The sequence below is a fragment of the Homo sapiens genome, chromosome 14 (assembly GCF_000001405.40).
Source record: "Homo sapiens chromosome 14, GRCh38.p14 Primary Assembly".
NCBI classification, from domain to species: Eukaryota; Metazoa; Chordata; class Mammalia; order Primates; family Hominidae; genus Homo; species Homo sapiens.
The window spans coordinates 53,717,186-53,734,092 of NC_000014.9; the positions used below are offsets into that span (position 1 = coordinate 53,717,186).

The following is a 16,907-nucleotide window of genomic DNA, read 5'->3' on the forward strand; positions in this document are numbered from 1 at the left end:
CAATTCAGGAGGCCAAGGTGGGTGGATCGCTTGAGCCCACGAGTTCAAGACCAGCCTGGACAACATGGCAAGACCCTGTCTCTACAAAACATACAAAAAATTAGCCAGGTGTGGTGGCACATGCCTGTGGTCCCAGCTACTCAGGAAGCTGAGGTGGGAGGATAGATTGAGCCCAGGAGGTTGAGGCTGCAGTGAACGTGATTGCACCACTGTACTCTGGCCTGGGTGACAAGAGTGAGACCCTGTCTCAAAAAAAAAATTAAATTAAATTAAAAAAAGGAGAGAGATAGGGAGAGGGAGAGAGAGAGAGAGAGAGAGAGAGAGAGAGACACTGAATGTGAAGGGGATACCAGGAGAGCTCTTCGGTTTCCATTCTCTATCTTCTCTAACCAGGATGAGTATTAGGAGACACGCAGCCTCTAATGATTATATAGAGTAAGATGGCGTTGATATAATAGATCTTCCTTCAGCTCTGCTCTCAAGAGCTACACCTATTCCTTTTTTTTCCTGGGGTGAGAGTGAGTGCTTTTCTTCACTCACTTTATGGCAAGTCTTGCAGAAGTAGCTCCTGTCTCCGGTTCCCCTACTTCACTCCCGTGTTTCTTCACCTGGTTAAAGTTATGGGTGCACAACCATTTCTGCGTTTTAAACCAACTTCCCACTCTCGATGCAGGTAATAATAAAGTGGGTTTGGGAAAGGCCAAGATTTAGGCACGAAAGCCAGCTAATGTGGACAAAGCAAAGTGAGGAGAGGGAAATATCTGTCAGGGAGGGAGCATTTCCTGAGCCTGAGGAGTGAGAACTTTCTACAAGAGGGTCTGGCCGGGTCTGTGTCTGCCCAGAAATCTTCTAATGGAGCTCAGAAAAAGGCTACTTTGCTTTGTGACAAGCAGAGTGTGCCCATTGTGGTTCTCTTTGCAGGAGACCTGGCCCAGCAGGCTGTCTGGCATAGCATGAGTTTCCCCGTCTCTAGAGCGTATAGGCAGCAGCCAGATACCAACCAGCTCAGATGTGGGAGAGATGGGCATTGTAGTTCTTCACTGTCATTTTAACCTGTCTTAATCTCCTCCTGAAATGATAAAGTAGCTGCAAACAACATCAAAACCTGGTAATATTAACATGATTTTTAGCCAAGGAGCCATGTCTTCAAAAGAAAATGTGTGTGGAAACTCAATATACAAAACAGCTAAAAGTCAAGCTATTCTAGGTTTGTGGTGGGATGGGGACCTGAGACCCCACTCAATTGCATCCCCTGCTGCCCTCCCTAAGAACCTGTCCTCAGAGAATCCTATGAAAATTATTGCTATAACCGAACACCTCTGCTTTTGAGTCCACACACACCTAGCATATCACATACTCACAGACAGATGCTTTTTCCCCATTGCGAGAAATGCAATGCCAGATTTCAATGTTCCTGTGACCTGCACAGAAAACAGTCCAGGGATTGTGCCCACTTTCTCACAAATTCTTGCTAAGTGCTTAGTATGTGCCAGGCACTGTTGTAGTTGCAGGGCTACAGTGATACGTCAGTAGCCATGATCCCTGTCCATATGGAAATGTACTGCACCGTGAAGCTTTAGTGAAATGATAAAGTAGCTGCAAAACACATCAGCATCCCCATTCCTGTTCTCCTTCTTCTTTGGCCTTTGTCTCCTCTAGGCCATTCCTTTCCAACTTTCCAACCTCTAGGTCATTATGGTATCGTTGGTTTCACTTGACCATTTGAATACTCCAGGTAAATTCTTGAACAATAAAGCTCACATTAGAGGGGGAGATTGAACATGTCTCAAGTCATCTGAAAAATTCTGGAAGTTTTAGTCCACTACAGTGGTGTGACATGGTTCACAAAAAACTCTAGGCTGCATGAACAGGAGCATCATTCCTGATCCAGTGAACTTTTAGTCTTGTTGTCTTCTCTCTTTTCAGATCACATCCAGGGGCCAAAACCAGTTCTGTGAGCCACTGGATGAAGACATTGACCAACTAGAAAGCATCTGCAGAGGTCAAGTAGGACCATGGGAGATCCAGATTCCATTTAAACAAGAATGCCTTAAAGAAGTGGGAATATTTAGCCTGAGTGAGAGAAAATGCTCTTACTCTGTGTGTGATCAGAGGAGGAGAAAGGAGGACAAAGTTACATCAATGTGATCAGCAACCATTTGATAGAGCTACTGTGCTCAAGAGGGGACAGTTTGATTTATACGTTTGACAAGGTGGAGCCAGGATCAATGAGTGAACATTAAAGGAAAGAATATTTGGGCTCAATATTTGGGCTCAATATTTTGGGCTCAATAATTTGGGCTCAATAAGGAGGACTTTCCCAATAATTACAACGTTCCAAACTTGAAATGGGGTGTCTCAAAAAGGAGTGAGTGCCCTGTTACTGAAAACATTTAGGTTAGGGCTAAATAGCCATCAATTAGGGTGATATAATGAGATTCCTGTGACTGTTCCAACAAGCATCTGGTGTGCACCAGTCATGTAGATTCTAAGAGACACTGAGAGCAAAGAGAAACACTTCCTCCCTCAAAGAGCTCAGGGTTTCAAGAGACTGACATGTAAACAAACTGATAATAATGGCAATTTGGTATAACATATGCAATTTGGAGTAACGTGTGCAAAGGAACATGGGCCAAATTTTAACTACTAGAGAGAGAAAAGCTGATGCTCTGCTAGGGGTAGGAGGAGGCTGAGAATGAAACTAGAGAGGATTTTAGGGAGAAGGTAATGTTGAGCAGATTTGAAGGATATGTAGGAGTTTTTTGTGGACACTATTGTTCAATTAATGCTGGTCAATAAGGAGAACACTCAGGATAAGTGGGGCAGGGGTTGGGGGTTGCAAAAGACATGGAGGTAGAAACAGCATGGCTTATCAAGGACCCAACTGGTTTGAAAGATCTTCAGCATAAGGTGGTGGGAAAGGGAAGAGAGGGGAAGTGGCAGGAGATCAAGAAGATGGGAGAGCAAGAAAGAGAATGCCTTTGATCTTGAACAGAAGGGCTTCCCTCATGGAGATGAGAGGAAATGCATAGCAATGTGGAGAGAGTAAGGGCTGGTCAGTAAGATTAACATGGCTGGTGACAACATATTTCTCAGTGAATAACTGATCAACATAAGACGAATGAAGTTGTGTAGGGGTCTCATGGAGACTGTCCTAAAGACTTAGCATAATTGTGGGCAATGTGAAGGAAAGGCAAAATAATTGATAGATAGCATCAAGTACCGAAAGGGAAAATATTAAAATTTGTAGCGTCAGTCCACACAGGCCTCTGATTTTCTTTAAGAGCACTCAGATGTGTAGGGGGTCAGAGGAGATGGGCTCTAAGGTCTTTTCTAAGTTCAAGATTCCCAAACTCCATGCCTTGCCATTATTCCCTCTTGGGCATATGGGATATTTTGTAATGGCTTTTAAAAAATATATACCATATAATTGCCAAGGAAAATTGTCTAATTAAATGATTTTTAGTATATTCACAGAATTGTGTTAGTATCATCCTAATCAATTTTGGAAAATTACTCCCAAAAAAAATCCTGTACAGGCATACCTCAATTTATTGTGCTTCACTTTACCGTGTTTCACAGATACTGCGTTTTTTTCCAAATTGAAGGTTTGTGGCAACCCAGTGTTGAGCAAGTCTATTGGTGCCATTTTGCTAATAGTATGTGCTCACTTCGTGTCTCTGTCACGTTTTGGTAATTCTTGCAATATTTCTAACATTTTCATTATTGTTATGTTATGGTGTTGTGATCAGTGATCTTTGATATTGTTATTGTGATTGTTTTGGGACACCACGAACTGTGCCCATATAAGATGGAAAACTTAATTGATAAATGTTGTCTGCGTTCTGATTCTTTCATCAACTGGCTCTTCCCCCGTCTGTCTCTCCCTCTTCTTGGGCCTCCTATTCTTTGAGACACAACAATATCGCAATTACACCAATTTAATAACTCTACAAAGGCCTTTACGTGTTCAAAAAAAAGGAAGAGTCATAAGTCTGACATTTGAAATCAAAAGCTAGAAATGATTAAGCTTAGTGAGGAAGGCATGTATAATGCTGAAAGCTGAGATAGCCAAAAGCTAGAACTCTTGAGCCAAACAGTTAGCCAAGTTATGAATGCAAAGGAAAAATTCTTGAAGGAAATTAAAGGTGCTATTCTAGTGAACACATGAGCAATAAGAAAGTCAAACAGCATTATTGCTGAAATAAAGTTTGAGTAGTCTGGATAAAAGATCAAACCAACCCCAACATTCCCTTAAGCCAAAGCCTAATTGAGAGCAAGGCCATAACTCTTAAATTCCCTGAAGGCTGAGAGAGGTGAGGAAGCTACAGAAGAATAGCTGGAAGCTAGCAGAGGTTGGTTCACAAAGTTTAAGAAGCCATCTCCATAACATAAAAGTGCAAGGTGAAGCAGCAAGTGCTGAGATGGAAGCTGTAGCAAATTATCCAGCAGATCAAGCTAAGATCATTGATGAAGGTGGCTACACTAAACGACATATTTTCAATGTAGATAAAACAGCCTGCTTTGGAGAAAGATGACATCTAAGACTTTTCTAATTAGAGATGTCAGTGTTTGCCTTCAAAGCTTCAAAAGAACTGGCTAACTCTCTTGTTAGAGGCTAACGCAGTGGGTGACTTTAAGTTGAAACTAATGCTCATTTACCATTCTGAAAATCTTGGGGCCCTTGAGAATTATGCTAACTATTCTACCTGTACTGTATAAATGGAACAGCAAAGCCTGGATGACAGCACATCTGTTTACAGCATGATTTACTGAATATTTTAAGCCCACTCTTGAGACCTACTGCTCAGAAAAAAAAAAAATCCTTTCAAAATATTACCACTCATTGACAGTGTACCTGATCATCCAAGAGCTCTGATGGAGATGTACAAAAATATTAATGTTGTTTTCATGCCTGCTAACCCAACACCCATTCTGCAGTTCATAAATCAAGGGGTAATTTTGACTTTCAAGTCTTATTATTAAGGAATACATTTTGTAAGGCTATAGCTTCCATAGATAACAATTCCTCTGATGGATCTGTGCAAAGTCAATTGAAAACCATGTGGAAAGAATTCTCATTCCGGATGCTGTTGAGAATATTTGTGATTCATAGGAGGAGGTCAAAATATCAACATCAACAGGAGTTTGGAACAAGTTGATTCCAACCCTCATGGAGACTTTGAGGGGCTTCAAGACTTCAGTGGAAGAAGTAACTGTAGATGTGGGAATAACAAGTCGACTAGAATAAGAAGTGGAGCCTGGAGGTGGGACTGAATTGCTGCAATCTCATGATAAAACTTTAATGGATGAAGAGTTGCTTCTTACAGATGAGCAAAGAAAGTAGTTTCTTGAGATGGAATCAACTCCTAGTGGAGATGCTGTGAAGATTGTTGAAATGACAACAAACGATTTAGAACATTACATCAACTTAGTTGATAAAGCAGCAGCAGGGTTTGAGAGAATTGACTTTAATTTTGGAAAAAGTTCTAGTGTGGGTGAAATGCTTTCAAACTGCATTGCATGCTATAGAGGGATCTTTTGTGAAAGGAAGAATCAATTGACACAGCAAACTTCACTGTTTTCTTATTTTAAGAAGTTACCACAGCCACCCCAACCTTCAGTAGCCACCACACTGATCAGTCAGCAGCCATAAACATCAAGGCAAGACCCTCCACCAGCAAAAAGATTATCAGTCACTGAAGGCTCAAAAATGGTTAGAATTTTTAGCAATAAAGCATATTTTAATTAAGGTATGTACATTGCTTTTTTAGACATATTACATTTAATATATTATTCTACAGTATAAACGTAACTTTTTTTTTTTTTTGAGATGGAGGCTCGCTCTGTCACCCAGGCTGGAGTGCAGTGGCGTGATCTCGGCTCACTGCAACCTCCACCTACTGGTTTGAAGTGATTCTCCTGTCTCAGCCTCCAGAGTAGCTGGGATTACAGGCACCCGCCACCACTCCTGGCTAATTTTTTGTATTTTTTAGTAGAGATGGGGTTTCACCATGTTGGCCAGGCTGGTCAACTCCTGACCTCAGGTGATCCACACAGCTCAGTCACCCAGAGTGCTGGGATTACAGGCATGAGCCACCGCACCCGGCCTAAACATAACTTTTTTATACACGGGGAATCAAAAAACTTGTGAGGCTTGCTTTACTGCGCTATTTGCTTTATTGCTGTGGTCTGGAACCAAACCCACAGTGTCTTCAAAGTATGCTTGTATCTATTAGCAGCCACTCCCCATTTCCTCTCCACCTTACCCCAGCCCCTGGCTGCCACTGATCTATTTCCTGTACCTATAGATATGCCTATTCTGGATGTTTTATGTAAATGGAATCATACCGTATGGCCTTCTGTGACTTGCTCCTTTCACTTAATATTTTCAAAGTTCATCTATTTGACAGCACAAATAACTACTCCATTCCTTTTATTGCGGAATAATATTCCATTATATGTATATATACCACATCTTCTTTATGCACTCATCAGTCAATGGGCATTTGGGCTGTTTCCACTTTTTGGCTGTTATGAACAATGCTGTTTTGAACACTCATGTACAAATTTTTGTATTGACACCTGCTTTCATTTCTTTTGGCAAACTGAATATTTTTTATCCCTACTGCCTGAGATATCACATTATAAGCTCACTGTTTTCAGAAGTGCCACAACATTTCTAAGTGATACTGTGGAATTTTCATCTCACCAACTCCCAAAAAGTACAAAATAACAGCACCCTTTAAGGCCTATCTATGAAACTTTATTTTATTCCTGAGGGCGGCCTGCTTGATGGTTCTAGGGCTCAAGGCATGTCTAAAGAGGCACTGTATGCTGCTTCCTCACAAATCATACACACACACACACACACACACACTCATTTACAGTGTTTGTAAACAGATTACGTGTATTATGATAGATGTTATTGTTTTTTCATTTGATTGAGGGAAAATTTGTCCTCTAGTTGTGGGACCATAGCCATTTCATCATCTCGAAATGATTCTCCTCTCCTGCCTGTTCTGCCTTAAAAGGACACTTACAATTTAGGTCGGAGTTCTAGTGGGACAGCAGATACCTTTTTCACAGTGGAAAGAGACATCTGGTCAAATCACCCCGGGAAACTTTTTTTTTCTTTTTTGAGACAATGTCACTCTGCACCCAGGCTGGAGTGCAGTGCTGCTATCTCAGCTCACTGCAACCTCCACCTCCCAGGTTCAAGTGATTCTTGTGCCTCAGCATCCTGAGTAGCTGGGATTACAAACGTGCACCACTATGTCCAGGTATTTTTTTTGTATTTTCAGTAGAGACAAGGTTTCACCATGTTGGCAAGACTGGTCTCAAACTCCTGGCCTCAGGTGATCTGCCAGCCTTGGCCTCCCAAAGTGCTGCGATTACAGGCATGAGCCTACCCCTGGTAACTTAATATAGAGGGGGGGAGTTTGGTTAACTGTTTACTTGCGTAAGTCCCTACTTAGCAATCCTGAACTGAGAAAAGAAAAAACAAGGCCCATTGGGTGATCCAAACCTTTACAAATTAACACAGCACTGAACAAAGGAGATTTGTTAATAGGAAACTGGTTCAAAAAGCATTACTACTAGAGCTTGCATGCGATGACTGAGTTCCGTAGGCCTCCATCTCTGGGAGAGGCATCTCCCAAGGCCACTCATAATGTCACTAGGGAAGGGAAAAAATAAAACCAAACAAAACCTTTCTCTGTCCTTGGGCCTTCAAGATCTCCAGCAGTGATCCCTGTAATGAACCCTCCTTCTCTGAGATCCCTTCTGCTTGGGGTTGCTCTTTCGGCTCTTTTCTCAAGAGCTACTTCTGGTGCCTTCTCCTAGCCAAGCGTTTTTCTTACTCACTTTCCCTGCAACTCTTGCAGTGGGGTCTCTGTTTTCCCTTAGCTTCACCTCCATTTCCATGTTTCTCTAAAAATCTACAGAGACCCACCAGGCACAGTGGCTCATGCCTGTAATCCCAGCACTTTGGGAGGCCAAGGCGGGCGGATCACTTGAGGTCGGGAGTTCGAGACCAGCCTGACCAACATGGAGAAACCCTGTCTCTGCTAAAAATACAACATTGGCCGGGCATGGTGGCACATGCCTGTAATCCCATTTACTCGGGAGGCTGAGTCAGGACAATCACTTGAACCTGGGAGGCGGAGGTTGTGGTGAGCTGAGATCGTGCCATTGCACTCCAGACTGGGCAACAAGAGTGAAACTCTGTCTCAAAAAAAATAAAATAAAATAAAATCTGCAGAGATCTGGGGAAATAGGAAGAAGGTAGGATTAAGACGGAGACTAATTCAGAGCATGGTGGAAGGGTTTTCTCCAGCTCCTTTGCTATTTTCTGCACCCCCCCGCCCCGCCGTCCTCCTTCCACACTCCTCCATCCTCCCAGGTCGTTCCTTCCTCAGTGCATCTCCTACCTGCCCAGGACTTTGCTTTTCTGTCTCTTCTGTGAAGCAGATGTGGGGACATATACCCTGCTTCCATCAGAGGGAGGTGCTCATTCAACCAGTATTGATTAATAATCTGTTTAGAAATCAGTATTTTATAGGAAACCCTCGTGCTGTCACCACGAGATTTCCTTTCAAGTTAACAGGAAAACTCAAGCTGACATCGTCCATTTTAATAACTGTTTCAACTCACCAGCAGATATGGGCATTTTACCAGCCTTACTTAAAGTGGACCGGCAAAAAGACAAAATGTAACTGGGTCAGAATAAAACTGGAAAGGAAGGTGATACTAATAATTAGAAAAAATAATTCAAAAGTTTCAGAAATTGTTATCTGCGTATGGCCAAACCTGAGTCTTGCAGCAAGTTCCTAAGGGCTCTAGTAATAGATGTTTTTAGTAGAAAATAATGCTATCAGGAAATGTAGTAACTATTTTTAAATGTTGATTAAGGACCCCTGTTTCTAATAGGAAGGAATAGGAAGCACAGAACACTACTCCCACTGTAACAGCTAAAAGAGATGGATAATTTGGAAAATATATATATATATATATATATATATAGACAGATATAAAATATATAATTAATTTAATTTCTATTTTAAAACATATGTATACTTTAAAATATTTAACAGTATACTACTTATGCTAATATATTATAAAAATTATAAATACATTTATATACATATAAGCTGACCCTTATAATTCTCAGATTCCTTATTTGAGAATTCTACTCACTAAAATTTATTAATAATGCCAAAACCAAAGTTCCCAGGCTTTTGAAGTGTTTTGGGACATGTGGATGCACAGAGGGCAAAAAATTTGAGTCACCCAACATGCATGTTCCCAGCTGAGGTCAAACAAGGCAATGTCTGCTTTCTTGTTTCAGTTGTCATGATGCGAACACTATGTATATGTATAACACTACTAAATAGACTGTCCTTTTCACTACTGAGTGCCAAGTTTTTTATATTTTTGTGCTTTTTGTTGCTCATTTCGCTATTTAAAATGGTCCTAGTGTTCCTAAGAGCAAGAAGGCTGTCATGTGCCTCACAGAGAAAATAGATGTTTTAGAGCTTTGTTCAGGTGTGAGTTATAATGCTGTTGGCCATGAGTTCAATGTTAATGAATCAATAATGTAAGTTAAATAACCTAATCTTGTATTTTCCCTAAGGATGACAATTTAGTATACATTAATTTGGGGTTCATGGTGACTTTATGGAACCAAATAATAAATTCTATAAATTCTTATAGAATCAAATAATGAGAATAAACTCTGTATATAATTTTTACATATACATATATCATTTTCATATATTTATATAATTTTTATTTCTTATATATACATAATTTTAACATACATATATGTTTGATTGTTTTGCTATATTCTACGTCTCTTAGCCTCTTTTCCATTATTTTGTATTCTTTTTCTCTCTGACTTTCAGTCAAATGTTTTCTTATTGACCCTCTTGCTGTGTCTTGACAGCTCATCCACGAAGATTTGGATATATATACACACACACACACACACACATACACACACACACACATATATATATATATATATATATGTAATATGAATTTCAGAAGGAAAGGAGAAAGAGAACAGGGCAGATGCATTGTTTGAAGAGATAATGACCAACAATCAACCTGTAGCTTCAAGAAGCTCAGAGAACCCCAAATAGGTAAATAAAAAAATTAAAAAAAAATCACACTAGACACATGATAGTCGAACTGTTGAGAACAAAAGATATAGACAAAATCTTAAGGACAGGCACAGCTGTAATCCCAGCACTCTGGGAGGCCAAGGCAGGTGGATCACCTGAGATCAGGAGTTCGAGACCAGCCTGGCCAACCAACATGGTGAAACCGCATCTCTTCTAAAAATACAAAAATTAGCCAAGCATGGTGTTGCATGCCTGTAATCTCAGCTACTCGGGAGGCTGAGGCAGGAGAACTGCTTGAACCCAGGAGTTGGAGGTGTCAGTGAGCTGAGATTCTGCCACCGTACACCAGCCTTGGGCGACAGAGCAAGACTCCGTCTCAAAAAAAAAAAAAAAAATCTTAAAAGCAGCTGGAGGAAAGAGACACATTACCTTCAGAGGGACAACAATAAGAATTAAAAATGACTTCTCAACAAAAACTAGAGATGCAGAGAACAATGAAATGACATATTTAAAGAGCTAAGGGGAAAAAGCTTCCAACTTACAGTTCAATATCCAGAGAAAATATCTTTCAAAAATGAAGGCAAATTAAAAACAAAAGCCGGAATTCATTCCCAACAGATCTGCATTACAATAAATAAAGTTCTTCAGCTTGAAGGATAAATGGATAAATCAGGCTATCACTTGAGACTTGTTACCTTCACTGTATTTAGATTTAAATATACATAATACATAAGTTGACCTCCAAAATTAAAAAATTCCCAGCCTCTCTTCCCATTGCAAGATCTCAAAACATCCACAATGTTGCTTATTTCTTCACATGACTGGGAAAGCAAGTTTCTTCAATAAAGGCCTTTAATAGGAAATCTGAAATCAATTAAATAATAAGCAAGGAATATGATGTCAAATATATGAAATGACCTATGATTTCACTGATTTCCTGACTTTTACCCTTCCTTTGCTCAGAATCCTGAAATTTATTCATTTTTTATTATTTTCCAAAAAGTTACTGTTCTTTCTGCCTTCTGATATAATCTCTGACAAAGTATCTGCTTTTTGGGTCCTTCATTTTCTATACCATTATCTCCAATGAATTATAAAATGTGTTGGATTGGCCAGGTGCAGTGGCTCACACCTGTAATCCCAGCACTTTGTGAGGCCGAGGTGGGCAGATCACCTGAGGTCAGGAGTTCGAGACCAGCCTGACCAATGTAGTGAAACTCCGTCTCTACTAAAAATACAAAAATTAGTTGGGCATGGTGGTGGACACCTGTAATCCCAGCTACTCGGGAGGCTGAGGCAGGAGAATCACTTGAACCTGGGAGGCAGAGGTTGCAGTGAGCCGAGATCATGCCACTGCACTCCAGCCTGGGCAACAGAGTGAGACTCTGTCTCAAAAAAAAAAAAAAAAAAAAAAAAAAGTGTTGGATTTTGTGTGATCCTATTCAATGAACTTGTAAATTATATCCTATTTGGATTGTTTCTTCTTTGTTTCATGTCTCCCTTCTCAAGTTTCTTGTGGGCACAAATTAATAAAGATATGGTTTAAATATAGGACTTTCCTTCTTCTTAGATATATATTTATCTGAGATATTTTTTGGATTTCCTTAAATTTCTGTGGATGGGTCTGCCTGGCCAGTCTGATGTACTGCCACTAAAGCTATCAAGCATATATCCAGCTAAGACCTTGAATAAAGGTTTATAATTTCTTGTTCTTCTACACTATGGCTGTGTTAAAATTCTCTTCCCATTTATCATTACTTCCCCTAGACACTTTACAAACTAAACCTTTTTTAGCCCCTGGTTCATTGTAAAAGTTTTTTATTTTATTTTTTACACTTGGTGTCTCAATCTGTCACCCAGGCTGAAGTACAGTGGTGTGATTATAGCTCACTGCTGTCTTAACATCCCAGGCTGAAGCAGTCCTCCTGCCTCAGCCTCCTGAGTAGCTGAAACCACAGACATGTTCCACCACATCCAGCTAATTTTTAAATTTTGCGTAGAGATGGGTTCGTGCCATGTTGCCTGGATTGGTCTTGAACTCCTGGGCTCACACAATCCTTCCTCCTCGCAATCCCAAAGTCCTAGGATTACAGGCATGAGCCACTGCGCCCAGCTAAAACTTTAGATGTATATTATTCTGGACTCACTTATTCTCTTAATAATTACAAAAATATTTCTAAAGATAGCATTTTCTTTTAGTCAAGTCTCCAAAAATCGTGCAAGTTTTAAATCTCTGCACAAGATTGTGCACTTTATGGACCCAGGTATGGAAGTACAAAGAGAGGATCATGAAAAAGTAAAGTATTAGAAATTTATAGATATCTTCTGGGTTATAAGGCATTGGTATCCTAGACTTTCACAGGCCTTGAAGTTAGCAGTTTAGTTCAAGTTTACCTAAATCTCCAAGGAGCATTGGGCTTCAGGTGACATCTTAGCAATAGATGCAAACCTAATTAGCAACATGCAGTAAATTAGTAATTAACAAATACATATTAATAACGTATAGTCCAAAATTAGCCAGGCGTGGTGGCGCATGCCTGTAATCTCAGCTACTTGGGAGGCTAAGGCAGAGAATCACTTGAACCTGGGAGGCAGAGGTTGCAGTAAGCCGAGATCACGCCATTGCACTCCAGCCTGGGTGACAAAAACAAAACTCTGTCTCAAAAAAAAAAAGCATGGTCAATTAGTAATTAGTAAATACTTATTAGTGATGTGTAGGAAATTCACAATTAGTACTAAATACTTTTTAGTGAAATGTGATCAGTGCGGCTCATGGAAGGCTGCTGGGGGCTTGTCTCTCTGTCCTTTCGCCAGGATTCCTGAGAGTATCAGGAAATGGGGCAAGTATTCTTTCCATAAAGTTGTATTAAAAGTTTAATTAACCTAAAGTGCTACATTAAAAGAACTTTTCTTTATCCTACAACATTTAAATATGATCAAATTCAATGTGTTGAGGGGAAAAGTGTTAGTTTAAGTCAGCAAAAATATCTATCTATTGTTGGAACTTCAGTTACATTTCAACTCTTCCTCAGTTTAACCATCATCTTTCCACCAGTTCTGGTCCCGCCTTTGGTGGCTGAGGCTACCACCTTTTCAAGTCCTTACCTTGGGAAGCTAGAAGATCAAGAAGCAGTTACTCTCCCAGGCTAGTGTCCCCGGCCTAGCACACTCATATTGCCAAGGGGAAGGAATTCACTGTCTACCAGATAAACAATCTCATTTCCCTTTCAATCACTGTTGGTTTTCCTTTGTTGGTAGAGTCACTTCCCATATCCACAGTGTCTCTTGAGAGAATCTCAGTCCTCCAAGCGCTACTGATTCTACATTACTTCTCTGCACTATTCCCTTGCTAGTAAAAGACGCATTTCTCAAAGGAAGAGCTGAATCTAAATGAAACAAAGTATCCATTGTTTTAAAAAAAGGAAACCAAGATTTTTACTGTGTTTTTGTTTGTTTGTTTGTTTTGTTTTTTTTTTTTGAGACGGAGTCTCACTCTGTCGCCCAGGCTGGAGTGCAGTGACCGATCTCGGCTCACTGCAACCTCCGCCTCCCAGGTTCAAGCAATTCTCCTGCCTCAGCCTCCTGAGTAGCTGGGATTACAGGCACATGCCACCATGCCCGGCTAATTTTTGTATTTTTAGTAGAGACGGGGTTTCACCATGTTGGTCAGGCTGGTCTCGGACTCCTGATCTCATGATCCGCCTGCCTCAGCATCCCAAAATGCTGGGATTACAGGTGTGAGCCACCGTGCCCGGCCTGTGTTGTTTTTCTTAGAGTAGCTTCCCTAACATAAGGAACAGAGTATCCCGATACAAACAAATATAAAACAAATAAATATGCTCACTTGTGTGGAATCAACAGGGTCACTTAAAGTGGACAGGTATCTTTGTACAGTAAGGATTCAATAAATTCTATTGATTGAATGATAACAAACACTGTTTATAAAAGGAGAAGGGTATCCTTCCTTTCTTCAGTAGCTCATGAAAGTCCTTGTCTTCAGGTATGTCATCGTGCTCTGAGATTCTCAGTTACAAAATTAGTGTGCAAGAAGCAATATATTCTTAATTTCAGCCTACTCAATATAATCTATTAACTAAAATGTCAAGGCTTTGATTACACCATAACTAGTACTCATAATTTGACCTTGAATACTACAAGAGCTGGAAATATCTTCTGAATCATCAAAGACTGACTTGATTCAATATGTTCTTTCTACTGAGCATATTTGTGGTATTAAAAAACTTTGAAATTGGTAACCTAGGGGAGCTCCTTGAGGGAAGGGCCAAAATATTGTTTGTTATAGTCTCATTAGCTATTTATACAATGCCTAGAGAAGTAAGAGCTCAATATTTGTTGAACTCAAAACATGGAAGGTAGAAATTGGTAAGGTGTGTAGCATGTATAGTAATTAAATCTGCTAACTAAAGACTTCATTAATAAGAACATCACATTGCTAATCCACAATAGGAAATAGAAGCATCATTAAAGGTTAGGAACCTTAATTTTACTGTTTATATAGCAGAATTTTGTTATGAAATGGAATTTCTCTAGTTATGCTGCCTAGAGGTAACCTTATTATATTTTTTTCTGAATGAACTTTGATTTTTAAAGGTAAATAAAAGTGCAAGAGATGGGTTTCCCAAACACACAGACATTCCTCAAGTTTGGCAATGTTATACTTTAGCAAAATCAGCACTTTAAAAATTGTATGTTGACTCCATAACTCATTTTTACACACCAGATTTAGACTTTAGAGCACTGCTAATGCTAACATTTCAACCCATCATTTTATAGCTACCTGCCAGGCAACAGTTTAATTTGGTATCATCACTTTATTTGTCCCCACAGTAGCTTATGTGACTAAAAATCCATATTTTGCTGATGATGTGGCCTTATATAGAGAAAATTCTAACGACTCCACCAAAATGCTGATAGCACTAATAAACAAATTAAGCAAAGTTACAGGATACAGAATTAACATACAGAAATCAGGAACATTTCTATACACTGACAACTATCTGAAAAAAAATTTTTTTAATCCTATTTACAAAAGCTACAAAAAATGCTTAAGAATAAATTTAACCAAGGAGGTGAAAAATCTATACATTGAAAACTATAAAACATTGATGAAAGAAATTGAAGAAGACACAAATAATGGGAATAAATGGAAAGATAGCCTATGAATTAAAAAGATTAATATTCTTAAAATGTCCATGCTATTCAAAGCCATCTACAGACTCAATTCAATCCCTACCAAAATTTCAATGACATTATTCACAGAAATAAAAAATTCTTAAAATTCATAGGGAACCACAAAACACCCCGAATAGCCAAAGCAATCTTGAGCAAAAAGAACAAAGCCAGAGGCATCACACTGACTTCTCAAACTATACTATAAACCTAATGTAATCAAACCTATATGGTACTGGCATAAAAAAAGACACATAGACCAATAGAATACAACAGAGAGCCCAGAAATAAATCAACTTATTTATGATCAACTGAGTTTTGACAGAGATGCCAAGAACACACAATGGGGAAAGGGCAATCTCTTCAACAAATGGTGTTAGGAAAATTAGATATGCACATGCAGAAGAATGAAACTGGACTCTTATTTCACCCTATATACAAAACCCAACTCAAAATGGATTAATGACCTAAACTTAAAAGGATACAACTGCTAGAAGGAAACATAGGAGAAAGGTCTACAACATTGGCCTGGGCAATTATTTTTTTAAATATGACCTCAAAAGTGCAGGCAATAAAACTGAATATAGACAAATGGGATTATATATCAAATGAAAACCTGCTCAGCAAAGGAAACAATCAACAGAGTGAAGAGATAACTTACAGAAAAGGAGAAAATATTTGCAAACCATACATCTGATAAGGGGTTAAAAGCCAAAATATACAAGGAAGTCAAACAATCGCAAAAACAAAAAAACAAACAAAAAAACTAAGTAACCCAGTTTTTAAAGATGGGCAAAGGATCTGAGTAGATATTTCTCAAAAGAAGACATACAAATAGCCACTAGGTATAAGAAAAAATGCTAATCACTAATCACCAAGGAAAGGCAAATTAAAACCACAATGAGCTGTCATCCCACACCATTTAGAATGGATATTATCAAAAAGATGAAAGTTAAAAAGTGTTGGTGAGGATGTAGAGAAAAGAAAACCCTTGTACACTGTTGATGGGAAAGTAAATTAGTACAGACATTATAGAAAATAGCATGGAAGTTCATCAAAAATTAAAAATAGAATACCCATTTGTGGATTGATCCAGCAATCTCACAAATTGATATATTTCCAAAGGAAATGAAATCAGTATATCAAAGAGATATCTGCATTCCCTATGGTTATTGCAGCACTATTCACAATAGCCAAGATATGGAATCAACCTTAGTGCCTGTCAGTGGATGAATGGATAAAGAAAATGTGGTATATATGCACAATGGAATATTAGTCAGCCTCAAATAAAGAAGGGTATCTCATTATTTGTGACAATTAGAATGAGCCTGAAAGGCATTATGTCAAGTGAAATAAGCCAGGCACCGAAAGGCAAGTCCTGCATTTATATGTCAAATCTAAAAAAGTGAAACTCAAAGAAGCAGAGTTAGAATGGTGGTTACCAGGGACTGGTGAGGAGAGGGCAGGGGTGTTGGTAGGATGTTGGTGAAAGAATAGAAAATTTCAGCCAAAGAGGAGAAATAAGTTCAGGAGATCTCTTATACAACATGAGGACCATAATTAATAACAATGTATTGTATACTTGAAAAT

The 16,907-nt window shown here is 39.2% G+C and overlaps 2 long non-coding RNA genes across 11 annotated transcripts in view; one reads left to right on the plus strand and one right to left on the minus strand.

Moving 5' to 3' along the window:
• Positions 1 to 5,608, plus strand: part of LOC105370504 (uncharacterized) — a 402,142-nt gene extending 396,534 nt beyond the window's left edge. The window contains exon 4 of the long non-coding RNA XR_943876.3: positions 1,927 to 5,608. This is a non-coding gene — a long non-coding RNA (uncharacterized LOC105370504). The remainder of the gene's footprint in view (positions 1 to 1,926) is intronic.
• Positions 1 to 16,907, minus strand: part of LINC02331 (long intergenic non-protein coding RNA 2331) — a 165,830-nt gene that overhangs the window by 32,189 nt on the left and 116,734 nt on the right. The gene's annotated exons all lie outside the window — the stretch shown is intronic.